The sequence below is a fragment of the Homo sapiens genome, chromosome 2 (genome assembly GCF_000001405.40).
Source record: "Homo sapiens chromosome 2, GRCh38.p14 Primary Assembly".
Taxonomy (NCBI): Eukaryota; Metazoa; Chordata; class Mammalia; order Primates; family Hominidae; genus Homo; species Homo sapiens.
This window is the reverse complement of record NC_000002.12, coordinates 182,330,582-182,347,195: the sequence shown is the minus strand read 5'-3', so window position 1 is coordinate 182,347,195 and position 16,614 is coordinate 182,330,582. Positions and strand designations below refer to the sequence as shown.

Below are 16,614 nucleotides of genomic sequence, written 5' to 3'. Positions count from 1 at the left end.
GATCAGGATTTAAATCAACATTTTCTGACTAAATGGCTTTTACACATAGGCCAGAGGGAAAAAAAAAACTCAGCTTTTTGGTAACTTGTCTTTCTTTCTGACATAGATGAGGACTTAACCATTTGACCATCGGGTCTGTCTTATAGACCTTTATCTCAGCTTTGGTTTCAAAATAATTTTCTGAAAAAGAATACAGTGTCTTAATAGTCTACTTCTTTACCAGCTGCCAAATGAAAGAAAAGTGCTTCTATGAAGGACAAGTAAATTTTCTCAGAAGTCTTGGGTGAAATACTTGAGATTTTTTTCTTTGGTACGGGCTTAGATGTAGACAGGTATGAGCTCAAATCCTGGCTCTGTTATTTATTCTCTGAGTGATCATAGGATTGTCATTTAAACCCTCTGAGTTGATTTTCTCATATTGAAGTAGGAATCAATGATCATTTTTGTACAGATATGTAAATATGCACAGATACCTTCATCTGTATGTGCATAGATTCATCTCTAAAAGGTTACAGGAAAAACAGGTTGCAATTTTTCCCTCCAGGGAGAGGAACTGGATGTGTTGCAGGTGTCGAGATGGGAGAGAGACTTACTTTTTAGGGTATACTCTTTTATACCTTTAGAACATTGTACCATTACATGTATTATTCTTTTAAAACTAAACTGCTTGATTTGAAAAATAATGCAATATGAAATAAAATTTCTAACACAGTTCCTGACATGGTACTCAGTAAATATTGTCTTCATCTTCTCTATTTTACCTCCAACTTACCCTCCCTGATCTGGTATCCATAAGAAAACATGTCTGCTCTTTTATGGAAATTTTAGTTCTACCGTATTTTTTCTTAATCTATCCTTGTGTTCCATTAAAGGAAGTTTTGAGTTTTCCTTTTGCAATTGTTTTTAACCATAGAATAAGCTAAAATTTAAGATTAATTTCCACAATTGCTGAGTTTTTTGTTATTTATTTATTTATTTTGCCTCTTGTTGGTGGGGATAATATACCTTAAAAACTAAATGTTTACACTAGTAAACAACTAGAATAGATAAATGCTGAAGATATTTATGTTTCTAGAAAATCTAAACTTTAATAACATAGCTTGTCTGTTTTTGGTAAGACATACAGATCTAAAAGCCTGATGATAATATATTCCTTTAAGGAACATTTATGCTGTCTACTATATATGTGTCTGATACCCTCACTCTCGTGTTACTTCATTTGACTTAATCAGACACATTTCCTTCTCCTTGCAGAGGTAACATTGCAGGAGACAGATAATAAACAATAAAGTAATAAATAAGTACATTCCTTAGTATGTTGGATGGTGGAGTATGCTATGGAAATAACGCAAAGGCAATCACGGGGAGGGGACATGAGAGTGCTGGCAGAGTCTTCAGCTTTAACTATGGTGGTCAGAGTGGCCTTGATGAGAAAGAGATGGAGCAAAGACTTGAAGTGGATGAGGGAACAAGCCACACAGAACCTGGGGGAAGAGTATTCCTGGCAGAGGAAACAACCATTACAAAGACTGTTTAAGCAGGAGCATGCTGGTATGTTCAATGAATAGCAGGGGAGCCAGGGTAGCTGCAGAAAGTGTGATTAAGAGGAGGCGTGGGAGGAGAGGAGGTCTGTAATAACTGGGATAAGGCTGTGTAGAGTCTCTTAAGTCGTATTAGCAAGCTCAGTTTTTACCTTGAGTGAGATAGGGAAACATGGATGGTTTTTGGCAGAGAATCTGACTGCTGTTCAGAATAGATGATGGAAAGCTAAGAGACGAAGCAGGAAATAATATTTATTGGTGTACTATAGGCAAGAAATTGTGTCCTAAGTCCTGGATTTCTATGTGAGGTGAAGGAGAAAGATAACGCAAGGATAACTTAAAGGTGTGTGGGTTAGCACCTTGAAGAACATGCCACCGTTCACCAAGATGGGGACATCAGAAATGGAGGGTGAAACCCTGGGAGGTCATTTATCAGCATATTCAGTGTTAGATGTCTATTAATTATCTAAGTGGAGATGGTGATGGGATAGAGAGCTTTAGGCTAAAGATATAAATGTGGAAGCCATTTATAAATAAAGCCTAAATAAATAAATAACCAAATAAAGCCTAAATAAAGACTTGAAAATAGTCATCCCATTTTAGCCCCCAAAACAAGCCAGGGTATCCTGGTTGATTCTAAGAGAAGAGTGCAGACCTGGTAGAAAACCAAGGAAAAGACAGTGCACTGAATCGGGGTGTTTTCTCTGAGGTCACTTCAGAATGAGGTGGCCATTTACAGATTGTGGGTTTGGGACAAGCTCTTTTTTTCTGCAGGGGCTTCTGTCAGGGAAGTCAAATAACTGGCACTTTGAACTTGAGGCCTGGATGAGATGCTTTCTTAAAATCTTTGAAATCTTTGTGTGAGTGTGTGAGCACACTGTGTATGTGTGTGTGTGTGTGTGTGAGAGAGAGAGAGACAGAGAGACAGAGAGAAAGGAAAGAAAGAAGAAAAACAAGCAAAACAAACAAAAACCTAGTACAGACACTATTACTTTAAAGATGCAAGCAGTTTTCCATCTTGCAAAGGTAAAGATAGAAATACACTTTTGGTACTGAATATTTCTTTGTCCAGAAAATAACCATAAGTATTGACATAATGGTAAAGCAGAGGCCATGACTACAAGTGGAGGTGTTAAAAAAAGCCAAGATGAGTCGAATGCTCTGCTCTGAGTGATTGTGTATAAAATAGTATGGAGTCTGGAGACAATCAAATTATGTTATAATTAAGTACAATAGCTAGGAAGATTGAAGCCAATTTGCAGCCATTAGTAAGAGCAAATCAACATACAATGTATTTGTGTATACTTATAATCCTGAGTTTTCATTTTAAAATATTTGTTCATATTTTCTTTGTAAACATTATATATATTTCATTGCATATGAATAAGATTCCCTATATTCATATATTTTATAGTATGATGCAAAAATATAAACAATATTTTCAATTAAATTTCAGTGATGGCTTCAAAAATATTGATTAAAAGGCCAGGCTTCATTTCTCATGCCTGTAATACCAGCACTTTGGGAGGCCAAGGCAGGAGAATTACTTGAACCCAGGAGTTTGAGACCAACCTGGGCAACATAATGAGACTTTGAATCTACAAAAAATATTAAAAATTAGCCAGGCATGGTGGCGTGTGCCTGTAGTCCCAGTTACTTGGGAAGCTGAGATAGGAGGATCACCTGAGCCCAGGGAGGTTGAGGCTGCACTGAGCTGTGATTGTGCCACTGCACTCCAGCCTGAGTGAGAGTAAGACTCTGCCTCAACAAAAAAAAAAAAAGAAAAAGAAAAAGATTAAGAGATTACTATGTATTTGGACATAGTAATGTGGTCTTTGGATATTCTTGACAGAGATAAAATATGGTCGATGGTCTTTGGATATTCTTGCCAGAGATAAAACATTTAATATCTTAATTACTAAATATAAGAAATCATAAATGGTAATATTGTAATTCTGGTACCACAATACCCAATTTAATTGTTATCACAATTAATTGATAAGTATATTGCAAAAACACAATAATAGTTTAGAAGACATAGACCTGTATAAAATGCTAACCTTGTCAATTAGGCTGCAAAATGTTTTAAGTGTAAGAATTTTTAGAGGTTGGAGCAATTTTAATGACAAATTTTCTAGTTGTTTTCTTATCTTAGAAGAAACATATTATACTAATATTGTAAGAATAAAATTCAAAGATCACCTAGTTAGGTCTGCTGCTTATGGCATCTGAAAACCTTCAGAATTATTTCCTATTTAAATTATGTATATGTACTGTGAAGTGGTTAGTTGGTATAGTGCTGTATATCTATTAAATGTTAGCCAGGGAATAAGGTGATAACTATTAACTCTAATTTATAGTGAATAAGCAGGAATTAGACCTGCCTGCTTAATGTTAAATTTCCACCAAAATGCCCAAACAAAACAACCTTGAACTGTGACTATACCTGAATTGACCGTGTCCTTGCAGGTGGTGACATTGTAAATTGAATTATGCACACTCTAAGTGGATGAACTGATTCATGCAGAACATTCAGGTGTCAACCAATGAGTATTATGGGCCTATTTGTATATAAGACAATGTATCCACTCCATAGTCCAATTATAAAACATAATTATAGTTGCATTTATTCTTCATATGCAGTTTGTACATGTATTCACACACAAACATATGTGAACGCATGTATGTGCATATACATATTGTATATTCACCTTATCCTGCATAGGAGTCTAAGGGACAGAGAAAGTGTCTTATTATTCTGGAGCCCTGAACCTCTCTTCAGTATAACACATTAGAATCTCTAGTTATAGGTATGAAAGAGTCTATTGACTTTCTTGCAAAAGAGTTCCATATGAAATTATGTTATGTAATATGGTTCCATATAAATGATGACTATTTCTATATTTTAAATAGAAAACTCAGTATAAATTAACTTAGTTTTTTTGTGTGTGTTTGTTTTGTTTTTCATTTTTGAGACGGAGTCTCGCTTTGTTGCCCAGGCTGGAGTGCAGTGGCGCGATCTCAGCTCACTGCAACCTCCACCTCCCAGGTTCAAGTGATTCTCCTGCCTCAGCCTCCTGAGTAGCTAGGACTACAGGCACGTGTTACCACGCCAGTCTAATTTTTTGTATTTTTAGTAGAGATGAGGTTTCACCGTGTTAGCCAGGATGGTCTCCATCTCCTGACCTCGTGATCCTCCCTCCTTTGCCTCCCAAGGTGCTGGGATTACAGGCGTGAGCCACCGTGCCTGGCCTATGTTTAGGTGATGTTTTTTGCTTCAGAATCTTTGAAAAATCTTTCTTTACAACAAACCTTCATGACACGTGCTTACCTATGTAACAAACCTACAAATATACCTCTGAACTTAAAATTTAAGAAACAAAAAATACTATATAAAAACAAACAACAACAACACTTTCTGATTTGTCTACCAAGTCTGGTCCAGGTATAGTACAAAGAAGTGAAATGTTCTCAGCCAAAACATAAAAGATTGTTTAATAGTTATAAAATGAACATTTAACACAAAATTTCTGGGAGCAAATATGAGAAAATTCTGCTAATATATAAAAGATAACTATAGAAAAGGGCCGGGTGTGGTGGCTCATGCCTGTTAATCCCAGTGCTTTGGGAAGCTGAAGTGGGAGAGTCACTAGAGGCTAGGAGTTCCAGATCAGCCTGGGCAACATAGCGAGGCCTGGTCTCTACAATAAATAACACTTTTTTAAAAAAAGTAGCTGGGTGTGGTGGCGTGTGTCTGTAGTCTTAGCTACTGGAGAGGCTGAGATGGGAGGATTGTTTAAGCCCAGAGGTTTGAGGTTGCAGTGAGCCATGATTGCACCACTACACTCCAAGCCTGAATGGCAGAGAAAGACCCTATCTCAAAAAAAGAGGATAAAGAAATTTTACCAAATTTGTAGCTTATTCAAAGAAAGTGTCACATGTGAACACAATAAAGCACCAGAGTAAGAATAGCTTTCTCCCTATCAATTGCTCACTCAGTGAAGTTACAAAGAAAATTTCATAAGTAAGAGCTTATGCTTTATGGGGGTGATGGATAAGATAAAACTGCATGTCACACCTGTTTATCAAAATATATGACCAGGCCAGGCTGGAGTTTCTGGGGCTGCTGAATCTTCAGGGAAGGGAACTATGAGGTAGATTGGAGTTCCCATATGAGTGTACCATGGGACTAAACAAAGACGATTAACAATGGGGATATCTTCAAAGATGACATTAAAACAGTTATTGCCACAAATATTGCTGTTTTTATAGTTAGAAATTTAGAAAAATAGCCTCTGTATACAAGCACAACTCATACAAATGACTTCATCAATAGGATGCTGTGGATGAGGAGTTAGAAATCTTGGCTTCTTGAGCCAGATTGGCTACTTCTTGGTCTTGTAATTTAGATAGGATCCCAAATCGCTTGAATTTTGCTTCTCTCCTTAATAAAATGAAGGGAATTATTCATGTCCATGTTCCTCTCTATAACGTTGTGAGAATTGGGATTGAAAGTGTTGATGTTTATAAGAGTACTTTGAAGGAGTAACATACTATTGAAAACTTAGGTTTTATTATTAATGAACAGCCAAATTCCTGTATGCTCAGCACCATACTAAACAATGCCAGAGCATGTTAGAAAACAGTTTACACTTTCGAAGCTTCTAGGAGGAAATAACACTTTAAGTCAGAGTCCAGAGAACAGGAAGACACCTTAGAAGTTAAATTACGTATCCAAACTCTCCATTTTACAAATGAGAATTCTGAGACCTAGAAGATCCGTTTGATTTATCCATGATTCTACAACTAGCCTGGCATAACCAGGCATCATGACTCTAAAGGAGAGGTAAGAGAAATTCTCTACAATATATCCATTTGATCTGTTAAAACATTCATCATCATTAAATTATTTTTAATACCCAGATTTCGGTTAACTTCCTTCTGTTTTAACATCAGGGCTACAGAAAAGCTAGCTATTGTCCCTTACATTCTAGCTATTTAATTTATATATAACATAGTCATGCAATTTTCACAGAAAACCCTTTCTTAACCACTTTTCCTCCTACTTAAAAATCTGAAGATGCTACATGTAGTTAAGGGCTAGCTTCTCTTTTGTATTCTGTTTCTAATTTCAAACTTCCCATTTTCTGCAGTTTTACAAGAGGTATTTCATGAAGTGAGTTTTATGAGACAAGGTGCCCTTGGCTTAGTTTAATGCCACATGAGAAAGGAGGTGTCGGAACCCAAAATAGCCTTTAGAAGCTTTATTCTTCAGTATTCATTTCACTTGGAGGCTCTTTGAAAGTTTTGACAGCAAACTAGTCTTCAGTGATGAGAGCAGGCATTACCCATGCAGAAGTTATGGTGGTGAATTTTATTAGACATACTTTCTGAAGAATAACATTTAAATTGGATATAATTTGCCTGAAAGCAAATAGAAGTACAGTTGCATATATTACAAATGACCTTAAAAGCAGCCATTTGCTTATTTTGAAACTCTTCTGACAATTTTATAAATCTACAAACTGCATATACTTCATTTTAACGTTTACCTTGGCCTTGTCATAATTCAACAATCCCCATAAATTGTTCTTTAATGAAAGTTGCATTTTACAGTATAATCTCAGCCATCTATGCCCAAACTACGCAGCAAGAGCTTGCTTTATCAGGATTATTCTGAGGCATATTTACATCTCTAGAATAAAGTAGGATATTGAATATATGATTATCATTCCCTTTGCCCTAAGTAAATTGGGTTTAGGACTTTAGAAAATGAAAACTCTTCTCCCTCTTTCACAAAACATAAGAATAATTGCAAAAGTTTCATGGAATCTACATGGAGTAGACCTGCTAAATCAAAATTTCATGGAGTGTTAATATTTTTAAAATGCTCTACAAGAGATTATGAGTGGGCAGGTTTTGGAACCACTGTCATAGATGGAAGTAGAATATTTAATTTCCTCTGAAAGAGGGACCAGCCCTTGCCTTTTAACTCCCAATTGTTCAAGATTTAGAAGTGCAGTAGGCTCCAGCAGATAGAACAGGACTTGTAGAACTCAGGCCATTTTTATGTGAGCATTTTAACACAAAGAATTGAATTGAGTCACTTTTCAAAGCAGTTATGTTCTGATGATTATTTGAGTTACATATTATTACAGTAATGAAAGCATCTTATTCAAATTAAGTAAGCTTAATTTTTGTTGAATCTAGATTGTGTTTGAATTTTATAGCTCTTTTAAAAAGTAATTTTCAAGAATGAGATTTTTATTGCCATACTTTTGTTTACAGAATGGAAATTCATGGATAAGAGCATCTAGTTTATACTGAACATTTTCTCAGGCAACTTGAGAAATAAAAAAGTAATATGAAATGAGGTAGGGTAAAAAAAATGCACCTTTGAGAAATACAAATTTCATTGAAAGTCTTCACAATCTATTAAACAAGTGGAAGTGGTTCTATTCATTGTGTCTCTTTTAGTTCTACTAAAGGACTCCTAGTAACACACCCTGTAAAATTTTCTTTTATGCAGTGGTACAAAGAAGAGGAAATATGCCTTGAGGTTAGGGCAAGGTTATCCTTTTGTAAACATATAGAAAAAAAACATCTTCAGCACAAATCCATGAGGAAGAATTTAATTAAAATTCATATTCTTCAGAAACACACTGATAATCATCAACAGAAAATAAGGCTAAGAGTTTCAAGCACCTCATTAAATTCAGTCTAGTTACCACTGAAATATTGGTTGCTACTATTGGGTGCAGTCAGGCAAAATAAAACAGATGACTTACTTGTCTGTCATCTCAAGCCCTTGCCTTCTGGTTAAAAATAAAACCGGCTGGGCACAGCGGGTCACACCTGTAATCCCAGCACTTTGGCAGGCCGAGGCGGGTAGATCACGAGGTGAGGAGTTTGAGACCAGCCTGGCCAATATGGTGAAACCCCGTCTCTACTAAAAATACAAAAATTAGCCAGGCGTGGTGTCAGGTGCTTATAGTCCCAGCTACTTGGGAGGCTGAGGCAGGAGAATGGCTGAACCTGGGAGGCAGAGGTTGCAGTGAGCCGAGATCACACCACTACTCTCCAGCCTGGATGGCAGAATGAGACACTGTCTCAAAAACAAACAAACAAACAAATAAATAAAACCATATGCTTAGTGGAAGGGTGGAATCAGTGATAGCTGATATTGTGATGAGTAAAGTGGTTTTGATTACATAGGTACTTATGCAAGTTAAAATTCTAAGTGCAGAACCAACAAGAAAAGAACTCTCATGTTAGATCAAGAAAGTGAACTAACATTTATTAAAAGCATTTTACACGCTCATTTCATGAAGTCCCTGTGAAGTGAGTGATATTATACCTATTTTACAGATGAGAAAGCTGAGACCCAAAGATGGCTTATGTAATTCCACATCAAACAGTTACTGGGTGTTAGAGTCAGGGTTCACATGTAGGTGCTGCCAGCTCCAGCATCCTCACTTCTCTTGTGGCCTCATTCAAGGCAGTAAGAGGATGAACTCAATGGATCCAAAGTGTCATGCATCTTTGAATGACTGTCTCTTCTCTGTAGACTTACCTCTGAAATGATGGCATTAGAATATTTTAATCCATTCAAACTGTGCTAATAGTGTGCAGGTCTTGCTGAAGGACATTTAAAAAATGGAGGATCCAGTAGGAACATACCTATGTGATATAGACCTAATGGCTCTGGAACATCAAATGACAGGTAGGTCATTGAGGATGAAAATTGACAAAGGTAGTTTTGGTTTAGTGTCTAATATTTTGACATAGACATTACTAATAACAGAGGGGTATCACACTTTCTTTTTTTTTAAAATCCTATATTTACCTTTAGTGCACTGAAAAGGATCATTTTGCTTTTTGTCAAAAAGGTAACAACATTCATTAAGTCCAATTTGACATAACTCTATCCTGTGATACTTAGAATAGGCGACCTTTTTAGATCAGCTGTCGAAGGTTATTGACCATGGATGGGGAAAGGAAATGAAGCAGCTTTCTAATGATAGCTTCTGTTTCTTCCCAAGTGCTCTGGCATCTGAAAGTACAAAAGGCCATTCTCCAAATTATTTGGAAACTCTAGTGAAAAGCTAATTTCTAGATTCTAAGGGCTAATTTTTACAGTGGAGAAGATGAAATGACATGTTATTTACCAAAAGTTTTAGGTAATTAATAATTTCATGACTTTGAAAATGACAATTATTTACATTCTGAAGATTCCACACACACTCTACCATTTAGATGGTAAATTGAACATAACTCTGTATTATAATGTGGTTAACTAAGTATGTTTCATATAATGTTTACATGAAATTAACTGTGAAACTCTTAACATGTAGGATATTTTCTTTCTTTCCACTTAATGTTCTGCTTTATTTTGTATGTATTTCTTTCCTTTGAAAGTCACAATCTTTCCATCTTTTTCTGTTCAAATCCTTTCCCTACCTTTGAGGTTGTGCACTTCACACTGTACATATAAGGCAAAGTGTATACATTAAACTCCAGATAAGGAAAATACAACCTAACATGTATTTACCATTTACTATGTACCAAGTATTTACCACTTACAATGTACTCTTCTAAATACTATTTTATATGTGTATTTTATTTTAATTCTCATAGCCACTTTGTATCATAGGGACTTTTATTTTTATTCTTTATTTAAAAAAAAAAAAAAAAGGGATACATGTGCAGAACCTGCAGGTTTGTTACTTAGGTCTATGTGTGCCATGGTGGTTTGCTGCACCTATTGATCCATCCTCTAAGTTTCCTCCCCTCACACCCTACCCCCAACAGGCCCTGTTGTGTGTTGTTCCCCTCTCTGTGTCCATGTGTTCTCATTGTTCAACTCTCATAGGGACTTATATATATATATATACTTTAAGTTCTGGGGTACATGTGCAAAACGTGCAGTTTTGTTACATAGGTATACACGTGCCATGGTGGTTTGCTGCACCCATCAACCCATCATCTACATTAGGTATTTCTCCTAATGCTATCCCTCCCCTAGCCCCCTACCCGCTGACAGGCCCTGGTGTGTGACGTTCCTCTCCTTATGTCCATGTGTTCTCATTGTTCAACTCCCACTTATGAGTGAGAACATGTGGTGTTTGGTTTTCTGTTCCTGTGTTAGTTTGCTGAGAATGATGGTGTTCAGCTTCATCCATGTCCCTGCAAAGGACATGAACTCATCCTTCTTTATGGCTGCATAGTATTCCATGTTGCATATGTGCCACATTTTCTTTATCCAGTCTAAAATTGATGGGCATTTGGGTTGCTTCCAAATCTTTGCTATTGTGAATAGGGCCACAATAGACATATGTGTGCATGTGTCTTTATAGTAGAATGATTTATAATCTCTTGGGTATATACCCAGTAAAGGGATTGCTGGGTCAAATGGTATTTCTGGTTCTAGGTCCTTGAGGAATCGCCATACTGTCTTCCACAATGGTTGAACTAATCTACTCTGCCACCAACAGTGTAAAAGTGTTCCTATTTCTTCACATCCTCTTCACCATGTGTTTTTTCCTGACTTTTAAATGATCACCATTCTAACTGGCGTGAGATAGTATCTCATTGTGGTTTTGATTTGCATTTCTCTAATGACCAGTGATGATGAGCTTTTTTTCATATGTTTGTTGGCCAGATAAATGTCTACTTTTGATAAGTGTCTGTTCATATCCTTTGCCCACTTTTTGATGGGGTTGTTTATTTTTTTCTTGTAAATTTGTTTAAGTTCCTTGTAGATTCTGGATATTAGCCCATTGTCAGGTGGATAAATTGCAAAAATTTTCTCCCATTCTATAGGTTGCCTGTTCATGCTGATGATAGTTTCTTTTGCTATGCAGCAGCTCTTTAATTTAATTATATCCCACTTGTCAATTTTGGCTTTTGTCGCCATTGCTTTTGATGTTTTACTCATGAAGATTTGCCCATGCCTATGTCCTCAATGGTATTGCCTAGGTTTTCTTCTAGGGTTTTTATGATTTAAGGTCTTACGTTTAAGTCTTTAATCCATCTTGAGTTAACTTTTGTATAAGGTGTAAGGAAGGGATCCAGTTTCTGTTTTCTGCATATGGCCAGCCAGTTTTCCCAACACCATTTATTAAATAGGGAATCCTTTCCCCATTGCTTGTTTTTGTCAGGGTTGTCAAAGATCAGAAGTTAGTAGATGTGTTGGCGTTATTTCTGAGGCCTCTGTTCTGTTCCATTGGTCTATAAATCTGTTTTGGTATCAGTACCATGCTGTTTTGGTTACTGTAACCTTGTAGTATAGTTTGAAGTCAGGTAGCGTGATGCCTCCAGCTTTGTTCTTTTTGCTTAGGATTGTCTTGGCTGTATGGGCTCCTTTTTGGTTCAATATGAAATTTAAAGTCATTTTTTCTAATTCTGTGAAGAAAGTCAGTGGTAGCTTGATGGGGATAGCATTGAACTTATAAATTACCTAGGGCAGTATGGCCATTTTCATGATATTGATTCTTCCTATCCATGAGCATGGAATGTTTTTCCATTTGTTTGTGTCCTCTCTTATTTTCTTGAGCAGTTCTCCTTGAAGAGGTCCTTCACATCCCTTATAAGCTGTATTCTTAGTTACTTTATTCTCCTTGTAGAAATTGTAAATGGGGGTTCACTCATGATTTGGCTCTCTGTTTGTCTATTATTTGTGTATAGGAATGCTTGTGAATTTTGCACATTGATTTTGTATCCTGAGACTTTGCTGAAGTTGCTCATCAGCTTAAGGGGATTTTGGGCTGAGACAATGGGGTTTTCTGAATATACAGTCATGTCATCTGCAAACAGAGACAATTTGACTTCCTCTCTTCCTATTTGAATACGCTTTATTTCTTTCTCTTGCCTGATTGCTCTGGCCAGAACTTCCAAAACTATGTTGAATAGGGGTGGTGAAAGAGGACATCCTTTTTTTGTGCTGGTTTTGAAAGGGAACGCTTCCAGCTTTTGCCCATTCAATATAATATTGGCTGTAGGTTTGTCATAAATAGCTCTTATTATTTTGAGATACATTCCATCAATACCTAGTTCATTGAGAGTTTTCAGCATGAAGCCATGTTGAATTTTATTGAAGGCCTTTTCTGCATCTATTGAGATAATCATATGGTTTTTGTCATTGGTTCTGTTTATGTGATGGATTACGTTTATTGATTTGCATATGTTGAACCAGCCTTGCATCCCAGGGTTGAAGCCAACTTGATCGTGTTGCATAAGCTTTTTGATGTGCTGCTGGATTCAGTTTGCCAGTATTTTATTGAGGATTTTTGCATCGATGTTCATCAGGGATATTGGCCTGAAATTTTCTTTCTTTCTTTTTTTTTTGGTGTGTGTGTGTGTGCATGTGTGTGTGTGTGTGTGTGTGTCTCTTCCAGGGTTTGGTATCAGGATTATGCTGGCCTCATAAAATGAGTTAGGGAGAAGTCCTTCTTTTTCCATTGTTTGGAATAGTTTCAGAAGGAATGGTACCAGCTCCTCTTCATACCTCTGGTAGAATTCGGCTGTGAATCTGTCTGGTCCTGGGTTTTTTTTGGTTGGTAGGCTATTAATTACTGCCTCAATTTCATAACTTGTTATTGGTCTATTCAGTTATTCAACTTATTTCTGATTTAGTCTTGGGATAGTGTATGTGTCCAGGAATTTATTCATTTCTTCTAGATTTTCTGGTTTATTTGCATAGAGGTGTTTATAGTATTCTCTGGCAGTAGTTTTTATTTCTGTGGGATTAGTGATGATATCCCCTTTATAATTTTTTATTGTGGCTGTTTGATTCTTCTCTCGTTTCTTCTTTATTGGTCTGGCTAGTGGTCTGTCTATTTTGTTAATCTTTTCAAAAGACCAGCTCCTGGATTCATTGATTTTTTGAAGGGTTTTTCGTGTCTCTATCTCCTTTAGTTCTGCTCTGATCTTTATTATTTCTTGTCTTCTGCTAGCTTTTGAATTTGTTTTCTCTAGCTTCTTTACTTCTTTTAATTGTGATGTTAGGATGTTGATTTTAGATCTTTCTGCTTTCTCTTGTGGGCACCTAGTGCTATAAATTTCCCTCTAAACACTGCTTTACCTGTGTCCCAGAGATCCTGGTACATTGTGTCTTTGTTCTCATTGGTTTCAAAGAGCTTATTTATTTCTGCCTTAATTTCGTTATTTACCCAATAGTCATTCAGGAGTAGGTTGTTCAGTTTCCATGTAATTGTGCGGTTTTGGGTGAATTTTTTAATCCTGAGTTCTAATTTGATTGCACTGTGGTCTGAGAGGCTGTTTGTTTTGATTTCAGTCCTTTTGCATTTGCTGAGGAGTGTTTTACTTCCAATTATGTGGTGAGTTTTATAAGAAGTGTGATGTGGTGCTGAGAAGAATGTATATTCTGTTGATTTGGGATGGAGAGTTCTGTAGATGTCTATTAAGTCTGCTTGGTCCAGAGCTGAGTTCAAGTCCCGAATGTCCTTGTTAATTTTCTGTCTCGTTGATCTGTCTAATATTGACAGTGGAGTGTTAAAGTCTCCCACTATTATTGTGTGGGAGTTTACATCTCTTTGTATGTCTCTAAGAACTTGCTTTATGAATTTGGATGCTCCTGTATTGGGTGCATATATATTTAGGATAGTTAGCTCTTCTTGTTGCATTGGTTCGTTTACCATTATGTAATGCCCTTCTTTGCCTATGCTGATATTTGTTGGCTTAAAGTCTGTTTATCAGACACTAGGATTGCAATCCCTGCTTTTTTTTGTCTTGCTTTCCATTTCCTTGGTAAATATTTCTCCATCACTTTATTTTGAGCCTATGTGTGTCTTTCCACGTGAAATGGTCCCTGACCACCTTGCCTCCTGACTGGGAGGCACCTCCCAGCAGGGGTCAACTAACACCTCATACAGGAGAGCTCTGGCTGGCATCTGGTGGGTGCCCCTCTGGGACGAAGCTTCCAGAGGAAGGAGCAGGCTGCAATCTTTGCTGTTCTGCAGCCTCTGCTGGTGATACTCAGGCAAACAGGGTCTGGAGTGGCTCCCCAGCAAACTCCAGCAGACCTGCAGCGGGAAAATGAACAAATGAAAAGGAATAGCATCAACATCAACAAAAAGGACATCCACACAAAAACCCCAGAAACCCCATGCGAAGGTCACAAACATCAAAGACCAAAGGTAGTTAAATCCATGAAGATGAGGAAAAACCAGTGCAAAAAGGCTGAGAATTCCCAAAACCCAGAACTTCTCTTCTCCTCCAAAGGATTACAACTCCTTGCCAGCAAGGGAACAAAACTGGACAGAGAATGAGTTTGATGAATTGACAGAAGTAGGCTTCAGAAAGAGGGTAATAACAAACTCCTCCGAGCTAAAGGAGCATGTTCTAACCCAATGCAAGAAAGCTAAGAACCTTGAAAAAAGGTTAGAGGAATTGCTAAGTAGAATAACTAGTTTAGAGAAGAACATAAAAGACCTGATGGAGCTGAAAAATGCAGCACGAGAACTTTGTGAACCATACACAAGTATCAGTAGCTGAATCGATGAAGCGGAAGAAAGGATATCATAGATTGAAGATGAACTTAATGAAATAAAGTGTGAAGACAAGATTAGAGAAAAAAAGAATGAAAAGAAATGAACAAACCCGCCAAGAAATATAAGACTATGTGAAAAGACCAAACCTACGTTTGATTGGTGTACTTGAAAGTGAGGGAGAGAATGGAACCAAGTTAGAAAACACTCTTCAGGTTATTATCCAGGAGAACTTCCCCAACCTAGCAAGGCAGGCCAACATTCAAATTCAGGAAATATAGAGAACACCACAAACATACTACTTGAGAAGAGCAACCCCAAGACACATAATTGTCAGATTCACCAAGGTTGAAATGAAGGAAAAAATGTTAAGCGCAGCCAGAAAGAAAGGTCGGGTTACCCACAAAGGGAAGCCCATCAGACTAATAGTGGATCTCTCAGCAGAAACCTTACAAGCCAGAAGAGAGTGGGTGACAATATTCAACATTCTTAAAGAAAAGAACTTTCAACCCAGAATTTCATATCCAGCCAAACTAAGCTTCATAAGCGAAGGAGAAATAAAATTTTTTACAGACAAGCAAATGCTGAGAGATTTTGTCACCACCAGGTTTGCCTTACAAGAGCTCCTGAAGGAAGCACTAAATATGGAAAGGAAAAACTGGTACCAGCCACTGCAAAAACATCCCAAATTGTAAAGACCATCGACACTATGAAGAAACTGCGTCAACTATTAGGCAAAATAACTAGCTAGCATAATGATAGGATCAAATTCACACATAACAATATTAACCTTAAATGTAAATGGGCTAAATGCCCCAATTAAAAGACACAGACTGGCAAATTGGATAAAGAGTCAAGACTTATAGGGACTTTTAAAAATCTCCTTTTGTAGATGAGTGAACTTAAGCACAGAAAAGTTAAGTAATTTCCTCAGCGTCAAGATTCAAGTCAGTATGATGTTTATAGTCATCCACTCCCTAACTGTGTGATCTCAGCTAAGTGACTAAGCCTCTCTATGCCTCCATCTGCTCATCTGAAAGAAGGTCAGTGGGGATACAAAATAAATAGATATGCTTCAAAGACTTCACAGCCCCCTTGGTGGAGATGTTCAGTGAGCAGGTAAAAAGGTACCTCTGGAATTTAAGAGGCAAGGTGGAGCACAATGTCTGGAAACTAGCCACTTACAGCTCCCAGTGGAAGCCCAGTGAGATCTCCAGGAAGAACACATGGAGCAAGATTTCCCTATGGGGCCAGGGAAGGAAGAAATATTCAGAAATGAAAGGGATGCTGTAAAGGACTGTGTGGGAGAGAGGTTCAAGAAACTGGAGCAGAACCAAGAGAGTGATGCTAGAGAAACCAAGAAACTAGTCAGCAAGGCCAAAGATAACTTTTTATATTTTGAGGACTAAAATCAGATGACTATGTTTGGCAATGAGGTCATCACTGACCTTTTGAGAGACCCCTTTCTAGAGCTGCAGCGATGGTAGTGGGATTGCCGTGGGTTCAGAGGCAGAGAGGGCAGGAGGGCGACAGAGGGGACAGTAAGCAGTCTTGCAGAAAGAGAC

General features: G+C 37.4%; 1 protein-coding gene and 1 long non-coding RNA gene across 23 annotated transcripts in view; both read left to right on the top strand.

Annotated features, from left to right (window-relative positions):
• PDE1A (phosphodiesterase 1A) overlaps window positions 1-16,614 on the top strand; it is a 576,757-nt gene that overhangs the window by 369,602 nt on the left and 190,541 nt on the right. The window lies entirely within an intron of this gene.
• On the top strand, window positions 4,733-15,139 carry LOC124907915 (uncharacterized). Its single transcript, XR_007087329.1, has 2 exons — window positions 4,733-6,387; window positions 9,167-15,139. It is a non-coding gene; the product is annotated as an uncharacterized LOC124907915 (long non-coding RNA).